Source organism: Homo sapiens, chromosome 9 (genome assembly GCF_000001405.40).
Source record: "Homo sapiens chromosome 9, GRCh38.p14 Primary Assembly".
Classification (NCBI taxonomy): Eukaryota; Metazoa; Chordata; class Mammalia; order Primates; family Hominidae; genus Homo; species Homo sapiens.
The window spans coordinates 78,422,390-78,448,140 of record NC_000009.12 but is presented as its reverse complement, the minus strand read 5'-3'; the positions used below and the strand labels follow the sequence as shown (position 1 = coordinate 78,448,140).

The 25,751-nt window shown below is 43.1% G+C and overlaps 1 long non-coding RNA gene across 2 annotated transcripts in view, besides 1 other annotated feature; it reads right to left on the bottom strand.

The window, feature by feature from the left end:
• The window catches only part of LOC107987083 (uncharacterized), a 122,361-nt gene that overhangs the window by 31,825 nt on the left and 64,785 nt on the right, over positions 1–25,751 (bottom strand). The window contains exon 3 of one of the 2 annotated variants that reach the window (XR_001746760.2): positions 24,967–25,117. The exons of the other annotated variant lie outside the window; for it this stretch is intronic. This is a non-coding gene — a long non-coding RNA (uncharacterized LOC107987083). Of the gene's footprint in view, positions 1–24,966; positions 25,118–25,751 lie in introns of those variants that run through there. 2 annotated transcript variants of the gene reach the window in all.
• Positions 7,237–10,853: an enhancer, noted in NCBI's record as "VISTA enhancer hs1585". NCBI's record gives its function as "enhancer in: neural tube[3/4] | hindbrain (rhombencephalon)[3/4] | midbrain (mesencephalon)[3/4] | dorsal root ganglion[3/4] | forebrain[3/4] | eye[3/4] | cranial nerve[3/4] | nose[3/4]" and the evidence as "EXISTENCE:transgenic organism evidence [ECO:0001131][PMID:17130149]".

Below are 25,751 nucleotides of genomic sequence, written 5' to 3'. Positions count from 1 at the left end.
ATAATTGGAATAAGGAAGGCAATGGTGAGCAAAAAGAAAACAAAAATCACCCCCAAAAAATGAAGAATTGTAAGACACAACATTGCCACTTAGGAATATTTTGTGACGTTGGACAAGGTCTTGGCCACTCTCTGCTCTACGTGAGGAGTCAGTAAGCTTTTTCTTAAGGAGCCAGATAGTAAATAGTGGAGGCTTTGTGGGTCACGCTATCTCTACTACGAATACTCAGTGCTGTCATTGTAGCACAAAGCAGCCATAGACAATACATAAATGAACGGCGTGGCTGTGTTCAAATGAAACTTGAACTTCAAAAAGTTGGTGGTGAGCCAGATTTGGTCCACAGACCATAGTTCGCCAGCCCCTACTGTGGATCCCTTCTCTATAAAATCGGTGTCCTAAGATGAGATGAGATTTAGCACTCTTTACTGCTGAACACATTAAACTCATTAACAAATGGGACAGTACTTTTACTTGAGAGAGCAAAAGACACCAGGCATGGAGGTTCATGCCTATAATCCAGCATTTTGGGAGGCCAAGGTGGGAGAAGCGCTTGAGCCCAGGAGTTTGAGACCAGCCTGGGCAACATAGTGAGACTCTGTGATATGGTTTGGCTGTGTCCCCTCCCAAATCTCATATTGAATGGTAGTACTCATGATCCCCACATGTGGTGGGAGGGACCCAGTGGGAGGTAATTGAATCATGGGAGCAGTTTCCCCCATGCTATTCTTGTGATAGTAAGTTCTCACGAGATCTGATGGTTTTATAAGGGGGCTTCCCCCCTTGCTCAGCTCTCATTCTTCTCCTTCCTGCCGCCCTGTGAAGAAGGATGTGTTTGCTTCCCCTTCCACCATAATTTTAAGTTTCCTGAGGCCTCCTCAGCCATGCTGAACTGTGAGTCAACCAAACCCCTTTCCTTTATAATTACCCTGTCTTGGGTATGTTCTTATAGCAGTGTGAGAACGGAGTAATACACCCTGTCTCTACAAATAATTGTAAAAGTTAGCCAGGCATGGTGGTACATGCCTGTGGTCCCAGCTACTCCAGAGGCTGAGGTGGGAGGATCTCTTGAGCCCAGGCGAAGTCATAGTTACAGTGAGCTATGATCATGCCACTGCACTCCAGCCTGAGCAACAGTGCAAGACCCTGTCTCAAAAAAAAAAAAAAAAAAAGACAGAAAGCAAAAGACAATAGAAAAAAAATCCATAAGACAATGATAATTATCCTCCAGGAGATGTTTGATGAGTGTATTTATCTTCTCTCAATAAAATGAAAAAGCTACATCATTGCAGTGGCAACAGAATATTAATCCACTCAGCCAATTTTTTATATGTTTTAAGATTTAGCACAACTATCACCTCTTGAAGTTCTTTACAAACTCAGGAAATACATTATATACTTTCTCACAAAGTTGAAAGTGTGGGAAAGTAGTAAGATGTATCAAAATTGCTTAAGAAGAGAAATTTCTAGGTAGAAACAGAAAGTTGCCCTCAGGCAGGGCTTTTTCTTTCTTTTGAAGAGACAGGGCTCTGTGGCACAGGCAATAGGGGAGTGATGTGATCATGGCTCACTGCCACCTCAAACTCCTGGACTAAAGCAATCCTCCCACATCAGCCTCCCAAGTAGCTGGGACTATAGCTGCCAGCCACTACACCTGGTTAATTTTTTTAAATTTTTTGTAGAGACAGGGTTTCACTATGTTGCCCAAGCTGGTCTCAAACTCCTGAGTTCAAGCGATCCTCCCACCTTGGCCTCCCAAAGTGCTTGGATTATAGATGTGAGCCACTACACCCCATCAGGCAGGTCTTTTTTGAATGCTTGAGCAGCCCTTCCCAATAATATAAATGTGAAATGAACAAGTGTGTATTATTTATTAGGGTACAGCAAGAACTTGGGGCTAGATCTTCCTTTTGGATAGCAGGGATATGTCATTACATAAGGAACATATCAGGCAGGACCAGTAAGGCTGTGCTGCAATAACAAGTAAACTGCATCTCTCCATGGCCTAAAAACCAACAAAGAGGCGGGCAGATCACGAGGTCAAGAGATACAGACCATCCTTGCCAACATGGTGAAACCCTGTCTCTACTAAAAATACAAAAATTAGCTGGGTGTAGTGGCGTGCACCTGTAGTCCCAGCTACTCAGGAGATTGAGGCAGGAGAATCGCTTGAACCCAGGAGACAGAGGTTGCAGTGAGCCAAGATTGCACCACTGCACTCCAGCCTGGTGACAGAGTGAGACTCTACCTTAAAAAAAAAAAAAAAAAAAAAAAAAGGTTATTTTTTGGTTCCATGCTACATTTACATTTTGGGTCTGCAAGATGGCTCTGTCCATTGTAGGCACTTCTGGACCACCGTTAACAGCAGCACAATCTTGACACAGGCTTCCATAATCCAAAAGGCAGAGGAAAAGCAATCACGGAAAACTTTTCACAGACTCCTAAAAGTGGCACACATTGCACTTCCATCCACATTTCATTACCAAAGCGAGTCACAAGGCCAAGCCTTTTCTAGCCTCTGAAAGTCACCTCTCGTGGCCTTTCACGCCACCTGCCAGTCACCTGCAGCTGACCTCAGCTCACTTAATAGATTCTAATTAGACTGAAGCAATGGCTCAGTCCAAAGACCAGAGTATACCTTTGTTTCCAGCAACTCTCCTTTCCTCTTTCTGATACCACATGTGCCTTGCCAGGGTGACTTTCACAGCCAGCCACATGTCACGCTGCCCCTAGAGCACATGGCTTACACTGAAGAGCCTCAATGATTTGCACACAGGCTCTGTACTACAAGCTGTGTAGCCTTGGGCAAATCGCTTAATCTTTCTGTGCCTTGGTTTTCACATCTGTAAAGAGGAGGCTTAAATTAGTTAAACCTAAAGTATTGCTACTAATGCAGTCATTGCTGTAGCGTCAGCCATTGCTATCACCTGCATCTAAACACTCTTCCACATTAACATTTTTCATGCCACCCCTCTGTAGCCTTCCTGAGACAATGATAATGAACTTACTATTTATTGAGCAACTATTATATACTGGTAGATTAACATATTTCATCATTATATATGAATTTAATCCCAACCAGAGCCCTAGAAAGTAGACATGTGACCGGGCGCAGTGGCTCACGCCTATAATCCTAGCACTTTGGGAGGCCGAGGCGGGTGGATCATGAGGTCAGAAGTTGAAGGCCAGCCTGGCCAAGATGGTGAAACTGTCTCTAATAAAAATACAAAAACTTCGCCAGGCGTGGTGGCAGGTGCCCGTAATCCCAGCTACTCAGGAGGCTGAGGCAGGAGAATCACTTGAACTCGGGTGGCAAAGGTTGCAGTAAGCCGAGATCACACCCCTGCACTCCAGCCTGGGTGACAGAGTGAGACTCCATCTCAAAAAAAGAAAAAAAAAAAAAGAAAAGACAGAAAATGGACATATGTGTGCCCATCTTACGGATAAGGAAATGGGTTAAGAATCTTACCCAGATGCATAGCTAGAAAACTGATTCAGGACTCTGAAGAGCTTGTGTCCTCTCACTAGACTGTGCTGCTTCTCCCCTTCCCTGCCTGAGCCAAACAGAGCAAGAGGAGAGGTGGTGGTGAGAGAGAATAGACCTCCTTAATTGATGAATCCTTCTACAAAAATAAAGACGGGGGGAAGGGGAGGCAGGAGAGATGAGGAGGAGGATACTGCATTTCCAACTCTTTGAAAGGTGACTGTTTCTTACCTCTTTATTCCCTGAGGATTGGTAGCTTTGCTGTTTCACACAAGGAGGGGACAAACATATCCCCCATGAACATTTGTCTAAAGTTCATCTCAGCCCTCTCCACACTGCAGCCCCACAGCACGTTCTGAGAGAACCTCAGAGAACCTTCTTCCCTTCGCCAGCTTTCCTCCCCACTGGAGACAACACTCATCTGCATTTAACGTCCATCCCTGAGAGCTTCAAAACAAAGCAGCCCAACCAACTGAAACATCTTTGAAAGGTCCCAGAGGATGTGTGTGCTGCAGGCTTGGCGGAGACTCCGGCAGCCTGACGCATGGGCTTGTGGGCCAGGCCTGAATTCTAGTCCTGTCACTGACTCACTGGGGCAAAACTTCAACTCCTTCCAACTCTAAATGGCAAGTTCCAGACTAACCTCTTCCCTGATTAGATGTTCCAAACCTACCTCGTTAAGCTCTGGAAAATCCCAGTAAAATGGAGCACAACGTTGTCACTGTGAGATAGTGCTCTTGCCTTCACTTTATTCCTTTGAGTCAAATCGACTAATGTTAACGTAGGAGAGAAATGGTTTGTTGGTCTCAAATAACCAAATAATTCGGTAAATGTCACTGAGACACAGAAAATACAACAATCAAGTTTTGACGGATTCGCTGCGTGTATCAACACAAAGCAAAGCTCCCGTCCTGAAAGCAGCATAAGAAGAAAAACAATGTAAAGAAAGAGGAGATTCTGTGCCAAAATGAAATGAGAAGGTGTACACGACAATGCATGAAAGCCATCCAGCATACACAGTCACCTGATGCCTGGCGATGATAGGGCCGCTATGGTGCTAGCAATATCCTCAGACTTTAATTACCACTCTCCTTAAGTTATGAAGTTAAGCACATCCTCTCTCAGACGGGGAAAGACCTCTGTGGGACACCTACTCCATATCAGGCCCTGTGACAGGTGCTTACATACTTTGTCACAGATTCCTCACTCCCAGCCTCTAGAGAAAAGTACCCCTGTCCTTAGTTTTCAGAATGAGAATCTCAGGTTTGTAGAGGTCACCATGACTACAAAGCCACTCAGCCAGAGGCAGATTTGAAGTTCAGGTCTCCAGTTCCAAACACAAATATAGCAGACCCTGATTCCAACTGTGTCTGGAATTGGTGGGTTCTTGGTCTCACTGACTTCAAGAATGAAGCCGGGGACCCTCACAGTGAATGAGTGTTACAGTTCTTAAAGATGGCGTGTCTGGAGTTTGTTCCTTCTGATGTTCGGACATGTTCAGCGTTTTTTTTCTTCTGATGGATTTGTGGTCTCCCTGGCTTCAGGAATGAAGCTGCAGACCTTCGCGGTGAGTGTTACAGCTCTTCAGGCAGCGCGTCTGGAGTTCTCCGTTCCTCCCGTCCGGAGTTGTTCATTCCTCCCGGTGGGTTCGTGGTGTCGCTGGCCTCAGGAGTGAAGCTGCAGACCTTCATGGTGAGTGTTACAACTCATAAAGACAGTGCGGACCCAAAGAGTGAGCAGCAGCAACATTTATTGCAAACAGCAAAACAACTAAGCTTCCACACGGTGGAAGGTAACCCGAGCAGGTTGCCAGTGCTGCTTCAGGCAGCCTGCTTTTATTCCCTTATCTGGTCCCACCCACATCCTGCTGATTGGTCCATTTTACAGAGAGCTGATCGGTCTGTTTTACAGAGAGCTGATTGGTCCGTTTTGACAGGGTGCTGAGTGGTGCGTTTACAGTCCCTGAGCTAGACACAAAAGTTCTCCAAGTCCCCACCAGATTAGCTAGATACGGAATGCTGATTGGTGCATTTACAAACCTTGAGCTAGACACAGAGTGCTGATTGGTGTATTTACAATCCCTTAGCTAGACATAAAGGTTCTCCAAGTCCCCACTAGACTCAGGAGCTCTGCTGGCTTCATCTAGTGGATCTGGCATCGGGGTGCCGACAGAGCTGCCCGCCAGTCCCACGCCATGCACCCGCACTCCTCAGCCCTTGGGCAGTCAATGGGACTGGGTGCCACAGAGCAGGCGGTGGCGCTCCTCGGGGAGGCTCAGGCTGCGCAGGAGCCCACGTTGGGGGTGGGGAGGCTAGGGCATGGGGGCTGCAGGTCCCAAGCCCTGCCCCGCGGGGAGGCAGCTGAGGGCTGGCGAGAATTTGAGCGCAGCACCAGTGGGCCGGCACTGCTGGGGAACCCGGCGCACTCTCGCAGCTGCTGGCCCAGGTGCTAAGCCTCTCACTGCCCCGGGGCGGTGGCGCCGGCCGGCCAGCCGCTCCCAGTGCGGGGCCCACAGAGCCCACACCCACTCGGAACTCGCGCTGGCCTGCTAGCACCGCGCGCAGCCCCGGTTCCCGCCCGCACCTCTCCCTCCACACCTTCCCGCAACCAGAGGGAGCTGGCTCCCGGCCTCGACCAGCCCGGAGAGGGGCCCCCACAGCGCAGTGGCGGGCTGAAGGGCTCCTCGAGCATGGCCAGAGCGGACGCCGAGGCCGAAGAGGTGCTGAGAGCGAACGAGGGCCGCCCCTCGTTGTCACCTCTCACAACCACGCTGTCTCGTAAAAGGGCTGATGTTACATGTGACAAAACAATTAGAAAACAATATAGGGTGTACTGGACATCAGTTATTTTTGCTGCTCAATATCCATTTACCACTCTTTTGATTAAATAGAAGCCAGTGCTCAGTGGGCATATTCTGGTGCTGATGTTTCTACTTTCCAGGCTCAAGAGGTAGAAAATTGTGATCCCACCTGGCCATTGGGACCCTGATCTCCACCAACCACAGGGCCAGCTTCAGGAACAGCTGGATCCACCTGCTCCAATGAAACAGGTCTGATCTTTGTGGCCTTGGCTCCCATTTCAGGCAGCTGTTCCCACAAAGTAGCAAAGATCATCACCAACAGTTGTAAGCACATAACCTACCAGTTTAGCAACCCCAACAGATTTCTTTTTAAATACTTCTTTCCCCAAAACTCCAATAAAAGTCCTGAGCTGAATATGAATTGACCACTTTTGGTCACGTCCCTTTCTTGGAACCAATGGCGTTGCCAGATAAAATACAGGATGCCTCTCTAAATTTGAATTTCAGATAAACAATACATTGTTTTTAATATAAGTATTCTCCATGCAAAAGACATTAATAATAGTAATAAACATAATAGTAGTAAAAAAAAATCATAGTTGCTTATCTGAAATTTAACTGAGTATTTTGGTTTGTTTTTGCTGTTGATGTTTTGCTAATTCTGGCAACTCTTAAGAGCCAATCAACACAGCCAAGAGAGGCGGAAGAGGGTACCTTTAGGCCAGAGCTGGGATACGCACCCACCCCACAGCAGGAAAGTAGGGTCACCTCATCTAAGCCACATGGGCTGATATGGGGAAAAGGATAGGTCCCCAAAAGAAAACCAGGTACTCCTCCAAGGAGAGGGGGGATGGATGTTTAGAAGCCAAGACAACAGATGTGCGCTAGAATTGAAGTGGGTCCCTCTAAGGAAGAAGAGCATATGTTTTTGGCGGAGGTGAGGGGCCTGTGGACCAGCTGAGTGGGGAAGAGACAGCCTGAGCCCACTCCTCCTCAACCTTCTTTGTGTTTTTACCCACACACATTTGCCAGATTGCTTGAAAAAGGCAACAGCTGTGGAAACTGACAGTTTACAGTTGTGATAAATCGCATTAGTAAAGTATTTCAATTAAAGTGATATCTAACTAAAAAACAAGAAGGCATCTCTGAACAAATAAATTAGTCCTTCAATTTGTGGAGCCTTTGTGTGGAAGATCTCAGCCCTTACCTACTCTCCTATTGTTCTGCTTTTCTCCAGGAGAGGGCCTGCCACAGGGTGTGGGGATGCTTCATTATTTCCATTGAGGAAGGGGCGAAGACTAAGGATGCATGCAAAAACACAAAATCTGTAACTAGGCATTTATTTCATTCCCTTTGGGTATTTCTTAAGCACTAAAATCCAAACTCAGTCTCAGATTTGCTGTAATTTCCCTCATTGTGTTTCAGGAGAGAAGGCATTCAAGAGTCTCCCTGTGGGGTCCGCCTGTCCGGCCCCATCAGCGGGGTGGCCAGGCCCCACAGGGCTGTGTTCTCTTTCCTAAGCCAATTCATCTACATCTGTAACACTTTAAAAGGAACTCAGGGGCATGTCTTCCCCAGCAGATGCTTTTTCCTCGGTTTAGGGTTTAGAAAGTCATTCTCCTGCACAAAATGAATGGCCCAGAGACTCACTGAGCCCCTTGTTCTCCTAGGGTCAGGGCCAGCATAACCCCCAGACCGCAGGGGCCCAGGGCCCTACAATGGGCTCCACGCCTTCACCTCCCTTCCCTTCCCACCCCTCCTGCCCACGAAATCACATCCCCCTCTCCAAATTCTCCACTTCAGCTTAATTTTCAGCAGATCCATTACCCTGCCAGTTAGTAATTCAGGACTAATTAGGTGATTGCTTTCATTTATGGTAGCAATTGGGAGGGGGGATGAAATGGCATTGCCCCTATTCTTGTTGGAAAAATAAATTACGCCCATTGTTACTGGAGATCTTATTTTTCCCCCAATCAAGCAAATTAGCAGCTTGGTTCATTTTCCCAGCATTCACTCCTGAGCAGACGGCAGCGCCCTGGAATGTGGCTTAGAGCTGTGTGGTCAGTGCAATTGTTTGGAGCTGTTTGTGCCAACAATGAGAGGACCCGGCTGTCTCCCAAAGGACGAGTGGCACTTGTCTTCCTTAACCCAAGGAGTTGTTGCGAGCGGCAGCCAGGCCGGGCTTCTCAGGAAGACGTACACCGCCATCTAGTGGACACCGGGGATAACTGCAACGTGTTCGTTCCCTGCGTTTTCTTCTGGTCAGTGAGGACAAGCAATTATGTTTCTAGTAAGTTACTAAAAATAGGGTGGATTCTTTCAATCTCCGGGAGCGAGGAAATGTTTGCCTCAATAGCTGTAATGAAAGTGCAATTCAAGGCTTGCATAACGTCTCTTTTCTGGGTAGCTCGCCTCGGTACTGATTTTCTGGTCCAAAACAGGACTGTTGGCATGGTCTGAGTGAGGTGGGGCAGTTCTCCCGCGCTCAAGTCTAAACAGAGGACTGAGAGTGTCAGTACCTCCAGGCAAGTGGCTCCTTTATCTCAGCAGCCTCTCCATCATCATCACCCGTGTCTCACCATAGCAAGCCTATTTCTGAAGTGCGTGAAATACAGGCGTTCAAAAGCTGGCTTGCTCACACCCAGGGGCACAGCCACTTCCCAATGGAAGTCAGAGCCCCCCCAAATCCTAATACTGGGTGCTGAGGGGGTGCTCATTCTCCACCCCCTAACAACATATGCTTTCATGTCTTTTTTCTTTCCACTCATTCTACTTACAGAAACAACACATTTGTCTCTCCCTGGTTTACAACGAGAACCATGATTTGCCTGGGGTTTGTGAACAGGAAGGATAGCAGTGGGGGAACAAATACATCGCAGTATGGGTGGGATTCGGTCAATAGTTCTCTACCACGGGCGATTTTGCCCCCCCCGCCTCCTCCCCGGAGACATTTGGAAATGTCTTGGTACATTTTAGGTTGTCACAACTTGGGAGGCCAATAAATATTGTCCAATGCCCGGGAAAGTCCCCCCACCGCAAAGAATTATTCAGCCCAAAATGTCAATCCTGCTGAGGTTGAGGAAGCCTGGTTTAGGGTAACAAAGATTGCCCTGCAGTAATGGGGTTATGATAACATTGATTGTCCTCAAATGAGCCACACTGCAGAGACTAGATAATTCATCCTCTCCCAAGTCAGTATTTACCACCTTTTTTCTTTTAGACTCTTCCATTTTAAACATAATTTAGCTGTCTTTTTTAATTTTTTTTGTGTGTGCCGCTGGGAAGAAAAAGGATTGAAAGGGGGGAGGGGAAGGCGACAGAAAAGGAGGATTAGAAGCATGACCTGTTTCTCCTGGAAGAGCTCGGCACATTCCTGTCTCAGATGTGCTTTGTGACCGAGCAGGGTACAATTAAAAGCACAATAATTTGCTTGTTATTCAAGTCAGGCATTAGTCCGGGTAATGGCGTGCTTGGTGGAGAGATGGATTTCCTTGTTAGGAGCTAAGCACAGGATTAGCTGAATTCTCCATGGAGAAATCTTGATTTGTTCAAGGTCTTTCATGTTTTCTACAGAGAAGGGATTATGTCTTCTTAAAGAGGTTCCTTGCTTAAAAAGCTACAAAGTATAAGAAAAGGATTTAGGGCAGAGGGGCCTGTGGTTAAGTAGCTGAGGGGTATAGGGAATTTTAGAGCAAAGGATTATTTAAAGCCATAAAGTTCAAAAAATAATTGGTTTAGCACTACTGGGTCAGCGCTGGCAAGTGCGCGGTAAAGGCAGTTAAGCATGAGCTAATATTCATTTTACTTTGACTAATTATTGCATGGGTCCAGGAGAGAGACGCGAAAGAAAACATGGCCCCTCCTTGGCAATCAGAGCGTGCCTTGTTTTTAGTTTCTTTGCCTTACAGGCACACTTATATGTTGGGATGCCCAGAATCCATGCATCACAAGGCCCTTATTACATAAAACACAGGAAAATTGTTCTCTCAAAATAGAACAGCACATGCCGTGCTATCCCAGTGACCAAGAATAAACCACTATTAGTGTTAACTCTATTGATTTCATCAGCCAGAGAGGACATGAAGTAAAACAATCCTGACTGCACCCAATGCCCCTGCCTAAGTCTAGGTGAGCAGTTCTCAGCCAGGGGCAACTCTGTTCCTCAGGGGACACTTGGCAATGTCTGGGGACATTTTTAGTTGTCACTACTGGGGAGGTGCTGCTGGCATCCAGGATGCAGAGGCCAGGGATGCTGCATAACATCCTACAATGCACAGAATAGCCCTCACCACAAAGAATTGTCTGGCCCAAAATGTCAACACTACTGAAATTGAGAAATCCCGGTCTAGACAGAGGTGATGTTTTACTTTTAGTTAGTTAAAGGATTTCAGAATTCTCCCTTCCCCACATCCATAACTGATGATTATCAGATGACCATAATTATTGTTGACTGCCACACTTTTCTTCCCCTTTTCAACACTGGGCCTTGTTACAATTCTGGAAATAAAGTGCTGTCAAGGGAAACCTGCCCTCGGTATGCCAGGGCCATCCAAGATTTGTGGTTGTGCCTCCCTACTCCTTCCACAATGGACACACACCCAAGAAGAATAAAGCTGCCTTCTCTGCAATTTCCCCAGATTCTGAATTTTGAAGACTTTTCTTCCCTTTTCTAAGATTACTGTTCCTCCCTGCATGACAAGTGTTCAGTTAAATCATTTGTCCTGCGGCTTTAAAGGAGTTAAGAGCCCACAGCTTCAAGATATCCATTTTCTCCCTGGTGACTGATGATTCTTATCCCGAGGGAGGTGAATGCCTGGGACAGGAGCTTCTACAAACCTAGTTAAAGCCAAAGGGCTGTGAATCAGGACCATTCCAAGGCATAGCCATCAACTCTCTGGGACATCCTCAAGGATGTACTTAACCTCCAGCTACAGGAGAAGATGGGGGAAGACAGAGGGTTTCAGAAGGGGAGTTAGAGGGCACCTGGAGAATTAAAGGTGGACACACTAAAACTAAACCCTACCCCTGTTGCCTTGCACAGATCAACACAGAACAGCCCCGGGTCCCACCGGCCAGCCCTTCTCTGCACCCTGTCTAAGCTCATCTCTCTGCCTTGCCCTCACTCCCATTCAGTACATTCTCAGTGCAGTCGTCACCATGATCCTGAAAATCTCAAGTCCTATCATGTCACTTCCAAACTCAAAACCCCTCAAATGCTCCCATCTTGCTCCAAGTAAAAGCAAAAACCCTTCTTTTCACTCTCTCCCTTCCTTCCTTCCTTCCTCAATCTTCCTCCCCACAACACACCCCTGCTTCTCCTGGCCTCATCTTCCATTCTTCACCTACCTCACAGTCTTCTCACTTATTCTACCCTTGCTTAGAATGTTTTTCCTCTCCATATCTTCTGGGGCTGATCCCTCAAATCTGCCCAGATGTCCCCTTCTCGTTGGAGGCACGCCATCTTCCTCCTTCATGCTTTATTTTTCCACCACACTTATCATCTTGTAATATGCTGAGAGCTTTAGTTATTTTATTTCTGAGACTTTACCCCACCCCACCCCTCACTCCCAGATTGCAAGGGCAGGATCTTCGTATACTTTGTTTTCACTAGTATAGCTAGGACTAACTATAGTGCCTGACCCCAGGGAGGCACTCAAATATTTGTTGAATAACTGAGCAAATGGACCAGGCTACTTTGTGTCAGAAGCTCTATCACGAAAGTTTCCATCCGCCTCAGTTCTGCTAGTGGACTGGGGAACAGCAAGCTAACCATGAATCCGCTCTAAAGTGTGAATGACAAAAACACTCACTGTGCCTCCTGGAGGCTTGTTTCTTTAATTGTAGCAAAATGCACAAAACATAAAATGTACATCTTAACCTTTTTTTTTTTTTTTTGAGACACAGTCTTGCTCTTTTGCCCAGGCTGGAGTGCAGTGGCGCGATCTCGGCTCACCGCAAGCTCCGCCTCCCGGGTTCACGCCATTCCCCTGCCTCAGCCTCCGGAGTAGCTGGGACTACAGGCACCCGCCACCACGCCTGGCTATTTTTTTTTTGTTTGTTTGTATTTTTAGTAGAGACGGGTTTCACCGTGTTAGCCAGGATGGTCTCAATCTCCTGACCTCGTAATCCACCCGCCTCGGCCTCCCAAAGTGCTGGGATTACAGGCGTGAGCCACCGCGCCCGGTCTTAACCATTTTTAAATGTACAGCTCAGTAGTGCTAAGTGCATTCACATTGTTGTGCGACCCATCTTCAGGACTTTTTCATCCTGCAAAACTGAACCGCCGTACCCACTGACCAATAACTCTTTATTCCCCATCCCACCTCCCCTGCCAACCGCCTTTCTACTTTCCAAAAAATTCTGCAGAAGTGCAGCTGAAGTCACATGGAAGGCTTTTAGGCATGTTCCCTGCCACCTTTGTGTTCTCCCTCTTCCTTCATGTAGCCTTCCCTTTTTTACCCCCTTCCTCCAATGACATGTCTGGGGTAGGGTAAACTAAGGAAGCCACTTCTCCCTAACTTCCTATGGTAACACAAATGACGCTTCCAGCATCAAGTACCCCCCAAATACTTGGAGAAATAGTTTGCCCAATTTGGAGAAAGAAGCATTATTAAATTCCTAACTGAAGAAAAATTCCATTTGAGCCATGCTAGGATTCAGGTTCAAATTTGCATAATCACAAAGCCCACGTTCATGGACACTCTAGCCTCTTGCTTTTTTATGATATAGAAATTCTGGGAAAGGAAGGTCATCTCTGTTGTTAATTAGAAAATCATGATACCTTTGGAGTCTCAATGTTATTTATGAGATGAAAATGGACAGGCACAGTGCATTTCCAACATTAGTCCTGAAAATATTTTCGATGCTACTTTACATGAAAATAACACATAGAACACATGAAAGCAGTGCAGCTGTGACTGAAATGAGGGCAAGAGGCCCCCAACCCTGCCTGCTTGCCAATTCCCTCTTGTACCTTGACTTCTGGCCCTGCAAAGAGGTCCCACAGGGGCCATCCCTAGACCTTGCAGGATTCAGCCCAGGATTGATCTGGATGACCCTGGGCTCCCTTCTAGCTCAGTAAGTTTTTGTTTGCACAACTGTCTTTTCTAGACTCTAATTTCTTAAGAGTTCTTGACAATAGAGCCAATCACAGATCTCCATTTCACCATGGGGCTAGCATTGCCAAGAGATCACCAACATTTGTTTCATGCCTGTCCTAAGAGATTAACTGATTAAATGAGCGTGATTTAGGGGGCAATACACCACACTGGTAGTCAGGAACTCCAACATTCTGCCATTAAATATTTGAATGACTTTCGGCAAAGAGATTTCACCTCTCCAGACCTTTAATTTCTCCTCCTCAAATAAGAGAGTTGGACTACATCAATGTTTCCTAAAGTATGGTGTTTGTACCACTATGGAAATTACACAAAAGGTGGAACAAAGATAAATGCTTTAATATTTTTCTACCAAACATAAAAATACATACATAAGTAGCCCATCATCAGCCCCATGATTTGTTGGATATTATTGCTACCGCAGGGCTAAAGTGGGTGGTACCATGATGATCACATCACACACAAGCAAGGCAAGACCCCGGTGCTTGCACATGCTGTGAAGGTTTCAAACCTGCAGAAATTGTCCCTTTTTCCCAAGCTGTCCAGAAGAATCAATGACACGGATGAAATGGATTGTCAGGGTGGATTTTTATATACTGAACTTTCATGTGCATTGCTGGAAAGACCTTAACAATGCATCAGACCATCACTTCTGATGAATTGTGAATGGACCCAGCGCAGTGGCTCACACCTGTAAACCCAGCACTTTGGGAGGCCAAGGCAGGTGGATCACAAGGTCAGGAGTTCAAGACCAGCCTGGCCAAGATGGTGAAACCCAGTCTCTACTAAAAATACAAAAAATTAGCTGGGCATGGTGGCGGGCACCTGTAATCCCAGCTGCTCGGGAGGCTGAGGCAGGGAATTGCTTGAACCCAGGAGGCGGAGGTTGCAGTGAGCAGAGATGGCACCACTGCACTCCAGCCTGGGTGACAGAGTGAGACTCCATCTCAGAAAAAAAAAAAAAAAAGATTTTAAAATGGTTGATGTGATAAATGACTGCAGTTTGGGAAACCCAACACTTGATTTTAAGGTTTCTCCCACCCCTAACAGTCTATGATGTGTAACGCGCTTCTAGGAAGGCTGCTGTGCTCCATTCCTCCTGCATATCAGTCTTATATATAACCTGTGTTCGTCTCATTAAGGACAAATTTCCTAGTTCCAGAGGGGAAATCTGGAGCAGGCTCTTTTTTCTGTAAATGAATGGGCCTTTACACAAAGAACACAGACTTATATGTACAGGCTTAAACATATGCACACAAACATGCACGCACACACACACAAAAGTAAAGTCACATGATGTCTTTATTGTCAAGTTAGGCCCCAAAGTTATTACAGCATTACGCTAGACTTAGGGTGAGATTCTCACCTACTTGAGACTCTAGGCACGAGTGGCTTTGGTCACTACCTCTCTGTAAAGTTTGTGCAAAGTGGTGACTCTACTTTGCAGTGGCAATAGCAAAAGAAGAAAACTAGGACTTATAGGTGGTCGGCGGGAGATCCATACCAATGCATAAGCAATTTTTCTCACCATTTATTAGATAGCTCATCAAATAGGGAGAATCTAGGCACAAAGTGACACAAGCCAAAGATTTAAGCAACTCCAGTTTGGTTTACGTAGCAACTAAATCATAACATTCTTGAAGCTATTAGCTACCTACTCTATGTTCAGTACTACCCTAAACCCAACTCAGTCTGTGTAAGTTGCACTACTCCTGCCCTGTTTGCAGCTTTGTTCACTCATTCATTCACCCATATTATTGTGTCTACTCCGTATGTGTCAAGCACTGGGGTTATCACTAAAAGCAGTACAGTCTCTGTGTCTAACTAGGAAGATACATGAAACACTTAAATCCAAACACTGATTAAGTGTAAATACCAGTAGTAAAGACAAAAAAGTGCAAGAGCATCTTAGAAGGTGACCAGAAAGATGAGAGGGGCTTCATGGGTGAAGTGAGACTTAGGATGAACCTAAAGAACAGGTGGGATTTGGATAGTCTGCAAGGAAATGAGAATATTCCAGCTGGGCCTATTATATTTGGGGGACAGGGCAGAGTGTGAAGCATGGAGTTTGAATCAAGAAGTAGAAAGAGAAAATGTTTTAAAGGAGGCTTGGGTGGGGGAATTACAGGGATCTTGAATGTCTGGCTCTGGCATTTAAGCTTTATTCTGAGGCAGTAATATACTACAGAAGAGTTTATTTCATTGCAAAGTAAGATGTGATGCCTTAAGAAATTAATTGAAACAGAATAAATTAGAGACAAGCATACTAATTAAGGGACTACTAGGAGGAGGGGATAACCCAATGTATGATGGTGTCTTAATCTACTGAGCTGCCACAATACAATACTAGAGACTGGACGGTTTAAACAATAGAAATGTATTTTCTCATAGCCTGGATGCTCAAAGTTCAAGATAAATGTCCCAACAGGGTTGGTTTCTTCTGAGGCCTCTCCTTTTGGCCAACAAACTGCCACCTTTTTGCTGCATCCTCAAACGGCAATGTGAAAGTTGGAAATGTGATTGTGAAAGATCACAGAGAGTTCACTGGTGTCTCTTCCTCTTCTTATAAGCACATCAGTTTTATAGAATGAGGGTCCCACTTTTATGACCTCATTGAACATTTATTACCCCAAATACAGGCTCTATTTCCAAATACAGTGACATTGGGGGTTAGGACTTCAACATATGAATTTGAGATGAGGAGAGGGCACATTTAAGTGTAGAACACATGGTAAAAGCTTGAACTAAGGTAGTCATGATGGAAAAGCAAGACAAAGAACAAATGAGAATGACTCTGGAAAGCCAAATGCAAAATATTTATGAAAGATAAAGAAAAATCAAAGAAAATTTTAATATTACCAACCCAAAGGCATGGAGGGATAGAAGTGCCTCCCAGAACAGAGCAGCCTCCTTGTGTGTCTGGAATTGGTTCCTTCCGGTGGGTTCTTGGTCTTACTGACTTCAAGCATGAAGCCACGGACCCTCACAGTGAGTGTTACAGTTCTTAAAGATGGTGTGTCCGGAGTTTGTTCCCTCCGATGTTCAGATGTGTCCAGAGTTTCTTCCTTCCAGTGGGTTTGTGATCTCATTGACTTCAGGAGTGAAGCCGCAGACCTTCGCAGTGAGTGTTACAGCTCTTAAAGGTGGTGCATCCGGAGTTGTTTCTTCCTTCTAGTGGGTTCGTGGTCTGACTGACTTCAAGAATGAAGCCGCAGACCCTCGTGGTGAGTGTTACAGCTCATTAAGATAGTGTGGACCCAAAGAGTGAGCAGCAGCAAAATTTATTGTGAAGAGTGAAAGAACTAAGCTTCCACAATGTGGAAGGGGACCCCAGCAGGTTGCCCCTGCTGGCTGGGGTGGCCAGCTTTTATTCCCTTATTTGGCCCCGCCCATGTCCTGCTGATTGGTCCATTTTACAGAGTGCTGATTGGTCCATTTTACAGAGTGCTGATTCGTCCACTTACAATTTTAGCTAGGCACAGAGTGCTAATTGGTGCATTTACAAACCTTTAGCTAGACACAGAATGCTGATTGGTGCGTTTTTACAGAGTGCTGATTGGTGTGTTTACAAACCTTTAGCTAGACACAGAGTGCTGATTGGTGCGTTTTTACAGAGTGCTGATTGGCGTGTTTACAAACCTTTAGCTAGACACAGAGCACTGATTGGTGCGTTTACAATCCTTTAGCCAGACAGAAAAGTTCTTCAAGTCCCCACCGGACCCAGAAGCCCAGCTGGCTTCACCTCTCAGTTGCAGAGCTTAATATGCCATTATCCTCTCTCCCCTCCCTCCTGCAGGGTGACCCATGCATATTCCTATGCAAGAACAGTCTGTTCTTTTTATTATATGAGAATTGTTGTACCAAGTATAAAGAGTTTTTAGGATTCTGCAAGGGACTATAACTAGAAGAATTGGGATGAAATTAAATGAGGTGGATTTGGACTTCAGAAAAAAAATAGACCATGCAACGTTCATTCAGCAACCCAAAGCCAGTTTCAAAATTGCACAGAAGTGCATTCAGCAAACCACCATCAGAAGCACTAAAGGCCCTTTCTCTGTAATCTCATTACTGAGGTGCCTGAGATCCAATGATATTAGCCAGACCATTGAAATGTCCCAACTACCTAGCCATTATTGTAGCTCTTCATCACTTAAACTAAAAGATAATCCAATCAGAAATCTGAATGGTGTTCACAAACTGGCTTCAATTACACTTTCCAGGAGCAGACACTGAGATAAGCATTTGTATACTGCCTTAGTCAGATCAGGCTGCTAGAACAAAGTACCATAAACTGGGTGGCTTATAAACAATAGAAATTTATTTCTCATAGGTCTGAAAGTCCCGTATCAGTGCGCCCACCTGTGCCTACATGGTCAGGTTCTGGTGAGGGCCCTCTTCTAGGTTCCAGATTGCCATTTTAACATTGCATCCTCACCTGGTAAAAGGGGGGAAGAGGGCTCCTTGGCCTCTTCTTATAAGGGCACTAATCCCATCACAATGGCTCAAATCTCATCACCTCTCAAAGGCCCCACTTCCAAATACCATCACACTGACAATTGGCTTTCAACATAGGAATTTTGCGGGGGAAACAAACATTCAGTCCATACTGTGTACATGTGGTTTATTAAATACATGCTTCTCCAGGAGGCTGGCAAGTGACTGGAGGAAGCAGGACAGAAAAGGGGGAAGCCAAGCAAGGGTGCATGCCAGGCAGGTCACACAGAGGGAGCTTCATCCTTATTCTTGCTCTCAGGGGGACACTCAAGTGTTAGTTATGCCTCATAGTTAGAGCAAGAGAGCTGGGCTTCCTTATTCCTTTCTCTGCCTGTCTTAGGCCAAGGGCTGCACCAGAATGATTTCTAGGCACTTTAGTCTCCTGGGTGTTCGGGCAAATTCCAGTAGCCCAAGTACAGTTTTTCTAAAAGGAGCCCCAGGTACCTACCACTGTCAGTAAAAGCCCAACCAAGCCAGTGGGAACATGCACAAAAAAGAAAGGTAAAAGAGAATTCAAGGGGATCATATGGGATACCATAAAGCATCAAATACGTGAACTTTAGGATTCCAGAAGGAGAAGTGAGAAAAGACATAAAAAATCTATTTAATAAAATAATATCTGAAAACTTGTCAAGTCTTGCAAGAGATATAGACATCTAGATTCAAAAACACTCGCAGATCCCCAAATAGATTAATCCCAAAAAGATCTTCTACAAGGCACATTATAGTCAAACCGTCAAAAGTTAAAGAGAATCCTAAAAACAGAAAGAGTAAAGTGTCAAGTGACATTAAAGGAATCTCCATCAGACTAACAGCAGATTTCTCAACAGAAACCTTACAGGCCATGAGAAAATGGGATAATATAGTCAATGTGCTGAAAGAAAACAACTGTCAACCAAAAATAGTACACCCAGCAAGGCTATCCTTCAAAAATGAAGGAGAAATAAAGTCTTTCCTAGACAAGCAAAAACTGAGGGAATTCATTACCACTAGAATGGACCTACAAGAAATGCTGAAGAGTCCTACATCTGGAAATAAAAAGGCAATATTTACCATCATAAAAACACACAAAAGAATAAAATTCACTGGTAGAGCAGATACATGAACAAGAAAAAGGAAAGAGTCAAACTTTATCACTACAAAAAAAATCAACCAAATTGTAAATGTAAATGATAAAAGAGGAAGAGAGGAACAAAGACTATCAAAACACAAGAAAACAATGAACAAAATAATAGGAATAAGTCTTCACCCCTATCAATAACAACCTTGACTGTAAAATAATTAAATTCACCAATTGAAAAGATATATACTAACTGAATGGATTTAAAAAAAAAAAGACTCAATTATATACTGCCTACTAGAAACTTACTTCACCTGTAAAGACACGTAGACTGAAAGTGAAAGAATGGAAAAAAGTATTCCATGCAAACAGAAACCAAAAGCATTCAAGAGTAGCTATATTTCTATCAAACTAAATAGACTAAGTCAAAAAACATAAAAAGAGACAAAGAAGGTGATTACATAATGATAAAGTTATCAATTCAGCGAGAATATAAACAATTATAAATATATGTACCTAACACCAGAGTACCAGATATATAAGGCAAATGTTATTAGAGATAAAGAGACAGACCACATGACAATAAAGTTGAAAAGTTCAACATCCCACTTTCAGCGTTGGACAAATAATCTAGACAGAAAATCAACAAAGAAACATTGGCTTTAATCTACACTACACACCAAATACACCTAACAGACATTTATAGAACATTTCAACAGCTGTAGAATGCACATTCTTCTCATCAGCAGATGGAGCATTCTCCAGGATAGACTGTACGTTAAGCCACAAAACAAGTATCAACAAATTTTTTTAAATTAAAATCATATCAAAGGTCTTCTCAGTATAAATAAAACTAGAAATCAGGCCGGGCATGGTGACTTACGCCTGTAATCCCAGCACTTTGGGAGCCCGAAGCAGGTGGATCACTTGAGGTCAGGAGTTCAAGACCAGCCTGGCGAACATAGTAAAACTCCATCTCTACTAAAAATACAAAAATTAGCCGGGCATGGTGGTGTGCACCTGTAATCCCAGCTACTCAGGAGGCTGAGACAGGAGAATCACTTGAACCCAGGAGGCGGAGGTTGAAGTGAGCCAAGATCATGCCACTGCACTCCAGTCTGGGCAACAAAGAGTGAAACTGCATCTCAAAAAAAAAAAAAAAAAACTAGAAATCAATAACGAGAGGAACTTTGGAAACTATACAAATATATGGAAATTAAACAGCATGTTCCTGAATGACCACTAAGTCAATGAAGAAATTAAGAAGGAAATTTAAAAATTATTGAAACAAATGAAAATAGAAACACAACATACCTAAACTTATGAAATGCAGCAAAAGCAGTGCTAAGAGGGAAGATTATAGCAATAAATATCTACATCAGAAAGAAGATTTTAAATAATCAACCTAATTGTGTACCTCAAGGAAATAGAAAGCAAAAACAAACTAAACCGAAAAAATAGTAGAAGATAGAAATAAAGACCTGAGCAGAACTAAACAAAATATAGAGGCTAATAAAAAATAAGAGTCAATGAAATGGCAAGTTGTTTTTTGAAAACACAATCAAAATTGATAAACTCTAGCTAGACTAATCAAAAAAAAGGGGGGGAAGACCTAAATAAATAAAATTGGAAATGAAAAAGGAGGCATAACAACTGACATCACAGAAATACAAAGGATCAACAGAGACTATTATGAACAACTATATTCTAACAAATTGGAAAACCTACAGGACAAAGATAAATTCCTGGACACATACAACCTAACTAAGATTGAACCAAAAGAAATAGAAAGCCTGAATCGACCAATAACAGGTAATGAGACTGAATAAAGTCTCCCAACAAAGAAAAGCCCAGGACCAGATGGCTTTGCTGAATTCTACCAAGCTTATAGAAAAAAGCTAATACCAATTTTTCACAAACTACTCCAAAAAGTTGCAAGGAATGAATTCTTCCTAACTCAATCTATGAGGCCAGAATTATCCTGATACCAAAACCAAAGACACTACATACAGAAAAAGAAAACTACAGGCCAATATCCCTGATGAACATATATGCAAAAATCCTCAACAAAATACTAAAAAACTAAATCCAGCAACACATCAAAAAGATAATATACCATGATCAAGTGAGATATATCCAGGTATACAACAATGCGCCAACATAAGCAAATCAACAAATGTGATACATCACATCAATTCAATAAGGGACAAAAACCATATGATCATCTCAATAGATGTAGATAAAACATTTGATAAAACTCAACATCATTTCATAAGAAATTCTCAACAGATTAGGTATAGAAGGAACATACTTCAACATAATACAGATCAAATATGACAAACCTATAGCTAGTATCATACCGAATGGGGAAAAGCTGAATGCCTTTCCTGTAAGGACTGGAATAAGACAAGGATGCCTAGTTTTCACCACTCGTATTCCAAATAGTACTGGAAGTCCCAGCCAGAGCAATCAGGCAAAAGAAATAAAAGACATCCAAATTGGAAAAAAAAAAGTCAAATTGTTCCTGTTTGCTGATGATATATGAGCTTATATATAGAAAAACCTAAAGACTGCACTGAAAAACTCTTAGATCTGATAAGCTAATTCAGTAAAATTTCAGGATACAATATCAGCATACAAAATTTAGTAGTGTTTCTATACACCAATTATCAACTAGCTGGAAAAGAAATAAAGAAAGCAATCAGATAATAACTATAAGAAAAACAAAATGCCTAGGAATAAATTTAGCTAAGGTGAAAGACCTCTACAATGAAAATTACAAAACACCAATGAAAGAAAGTGAACACAAACAAATGGAAAGGCAGCCCATGCTCATGAATTAGAAGAATTAATATTATTAAAATGACCATACTCAAAGCAGTTGACAGATTCAATGGCAATCCTTATCAAAATACCAATTAGATTCTTCACAGAAATAGAAAATCCAATCATAAAACTTATTTGGAACCACAAAAGACCCTGCAAAGCCAAAGCAATATTAAGCAAAAAGAACAAAGCTGGAGGAATCACACTACCTGACTTCAAAATATACTACAGAGCTATAATAACCAAAATAGCATAATATCGGTATAAAACAGATACACAGATCAATGAAACAAAATAGAGAATTCAGAAATAAATCCACATATTTACAGCCTTTTGGACAAAGGCAGGAAGAATATACACTGGGAAAAGGATACCTTCTTCAATAAATGGTGCTGGGAATACAGCATATTCATTTGCACAAGAATAAAACTAGACATCTATCTCTCACCATATATAAAAATCAACTCAAAAGACTTAAATGTAAGACTCAAAACTATAAAACTACTAGAAAAAACACAGGGGAAACACTCCAGGACATTGGTCTAGGCAGAGATACTACGGCTAAGACCTCAAAAAAGCACAGGCAACAAAAACAAAAATAGACAAATGGGACTATATTAAACTAAGAAGCTTCTGCACAGCAAAGGAGACAACTAACAGGGTAAAGAGACAACCTGTAGAATGGGAATGAATATTTGCAAACTGTTTATCCCACAAGGGACTAATGCCATGAATATGGAGGAAACTGAAACAACTCAACAGAAAAAAAAAAGCATAAATAATCCCATTTAAAAGTAGTCAAAGAATCTGAATAGACATTTCTCAAAAGAAAACACAGAAATGGCCAGGTTCAGTGGCTAATGCCTGTAATCCTAGCACTTTGAGAGGCCAAGGTGGGAGGATCACTTGAGGCCAGGAGTCCGAGACCAGCCTGCCTGGGTAACATGGCAAAACCTGTCTCCACAAAAAATACAAAAATTAGCCGGGTGTGATGGCATGCACCTGTACTCCCAGCTACCCAGGAGGCTGAGATGGGAGGATGGTTTGAGCCCAGGAGGTGGAGGTTGCAGCGAGCCAAGATTTCACCATTGCACTCTAGCCTGGGTGACAGACCATCTCAAAAAAAAAGCAAAAAGAAAGCAAAAGCAAAAAAAAGAAAGCAAAAAGACTCTAACCTGGGTGACAGACCATCTCAAAAAAAAAGCAAAAAGAAAAAAAAATGACCAATAGGTATATGAAAAAACCATCAGGAATCAGAGAAATGCACATCAAAACCACAATGAGATATCATTTCACCCCAGTTAGAATGGCTATTATCAAAAAGACAATAAAAAATGCTGGTTGAGGCTAAGACAAATGGATCACTTGAGCCCACGAGTTTGAAACCAGCCTAGGTAACATAGTGAGACCCTGTCTCCTTAAAAAAAAAAAAAAAAACTCTGGTGAGGATGCAGAGAAAAGGAAACTCTTACACATTGTTGGGGGGAATGTAAATTAGTACATCTATTATAGAAAATTATATAGAGGCTATCCCATTTCTTGGCATTTATACAAAGGAAAAGAAATCAGTATATCAAAGGGATTCCTGCACTCCCGTGTTTATTGCAGTACTATTTACAACAGCCAAGCTATCAACTCCGTCTCAGTGTCCATCAATGGATAAATGGATAAAGAAATTGTAGCATATATAAACAATGAAATACTAGTCAGGCAGAATTCATACTAGAAGGCTAAGGCAAATGGATCCTGTCATTTGCAGCAACAAGGATGGAACTGGAGGTCATTATGTTAAGTGAAATAAGCCAGGCAGAAAAAGATAGATATCACATGTTCTCACTCACATTTGGGAGCTAAAAGAGTAGGCCTAATGGAGGTAGAGATTACAATGATAGTTACCAGAGGCTGGGAAGGGTAGGGGCAGGGATGAAGAGAGGTTGGTGAATGACTACAACTACACAGTTCGATAGAAGGAATAAGTTTTAGTTTTCAATAGCACAGTAGTGTGACTATAGGGAATAATTTATCGTATATTTCAAAATAACTAGAAGAGGCTGGGCACAGCGGCTCGTGCCTGTAATCCCAGCACTTTGGGAGGCCAAGGAGGGAGGATTACCTGAAGTCAGGAGTTTGAGACAAGCCTGGACAACATAGTGAAACCCTGTCTCTACTAAAAATACAAAAATTAGCTGGGCATGGTGGCGCACACCTGTAGTCCCAGCTACGCAGGAGGCTGAGGCAGGAGAATCATTTGAACTCATGAGGCGGAGGTTGCAGTGAGCTGAGATCACACCATTACACTCCAGCCTGGGCGACAGAGCAAGACCGTCTCAAAAATTAATAAATAAATAAATAACTAGAAGACTTGAAATGTTCCCAACACAAAGAAATGATAAATGTTTGCGGTGATCGATATCCTAAATACCTTAATATGATCACACTGTATACATGTATCACCATATCACATGTACCCCATAAATATATACAATTATTATGTATTTTTTTTAAAAAAACTCTTAGAAGGCTATACACTCATTTGTTAATAGCAGTTACCTCTATGTGGTGGCATTTTGTTTGGTTTTCATGATTTTCACGTTAAACTTTTACTTGTGTTTATATTTTCCAAAATTGTATAACAAATTGTATTACTTTGTAAAGAGAAAAATATCCATTTCCATGACCTTCATGCTTTTTAAGGGCCTGCATACTTCCCACATAAATTGCTTTTCCTATTAACCCTCCAAATTAGGCAGAATAACATTGATTCTTTTTTAATGAAAAAAAATCTAATGAAATAAAGTGGTCTGTCCAAATTCTCACGTAAGTTATTATAGGAGTTGATATGAAAATCAAGGTATCTCAGTTTCCATTACAATTCCATTGCAACACTCCCTGTTCCATCTTGCATTCCCCTTAGCTGGTAAGGAATATTCACAGTCTTTATACCCTTCCTCCAAAATCAGCATGGCCAAAGAGGCTTCTCCACTAGGCACCAAACAGGCTCAACATTTCAAAGATCTGCCGTTCCCTTTGCTTTCACACCAGAAGGAGTCTACTTGTTCCCTGATGAAGAGGAATATTAGTGACACCTAATAAATGAAGGTCACTGGGAAGGGCCCAGAAGTGATGCATGGCTAACAGCTGGTACTAACCCTGTTGGAACATGAAGTGTGGCTCCATTTCCATAAGCTGCTTTGTCATTCTTTCTTTATTAGTTTTTACGTGACAGAGAATTGATTCAACTGTCAGGGAGCAGGAACTTCTCACAGCTCACAGGCCCAAAGATGCGCTGAGCTGCCTTTCCTAGCCTCACTCCCCATCCACAGGGACACCAATCCACCCTATGGAAAAAATAGCATCAGGGAAAGATCAAAATACCAGATCTACATGAACCACCTTAGATGGAATTTAGAAAAATAATTGTCACATCCCCATCCTCATTACCAGCACCAAATCTCTCAAAATCCTAGGAATAGCCTTACGCATTTTCTAGGAAATGGTAGCTTTCCTGTAAATTAGGGACATTATTTTAAACTGTCCAGGACATAAGGAATACTAGAATTCTGAAGACTAATTAAAAATGTAAAGTATTTTTAGGGGACTGAGGACTTCACCAAACTTGTGTGGCTTCCACATCAGCCAACTTCTTGGAGGGCACTTTCCTGATATATGGCTGCATAGAGTGCTGTGTAGTTCAGCTACATGGAACGCTGGGCTCACCCAGTTCTGGGCACCTGGAAAGATTATAGTTCTGTGTTGCTTTTTTTTTTTTGAGGTTTTTTTTTTTTTTTTTTTTTTTGCTTTGGGATCATATGACTATTTCTGGCCAATTGGCTGTGAGTGGCAGTGATGTGAGTCGTTTCCAGGCCAAAGCACTCACTATCAGTGAGACCCTCCATCTGTCCCACCTACATCACAACCACAGATGTATGTATTGAGACGGGGTGCCATGAGGTCGAAGCAGCCTTTATCATT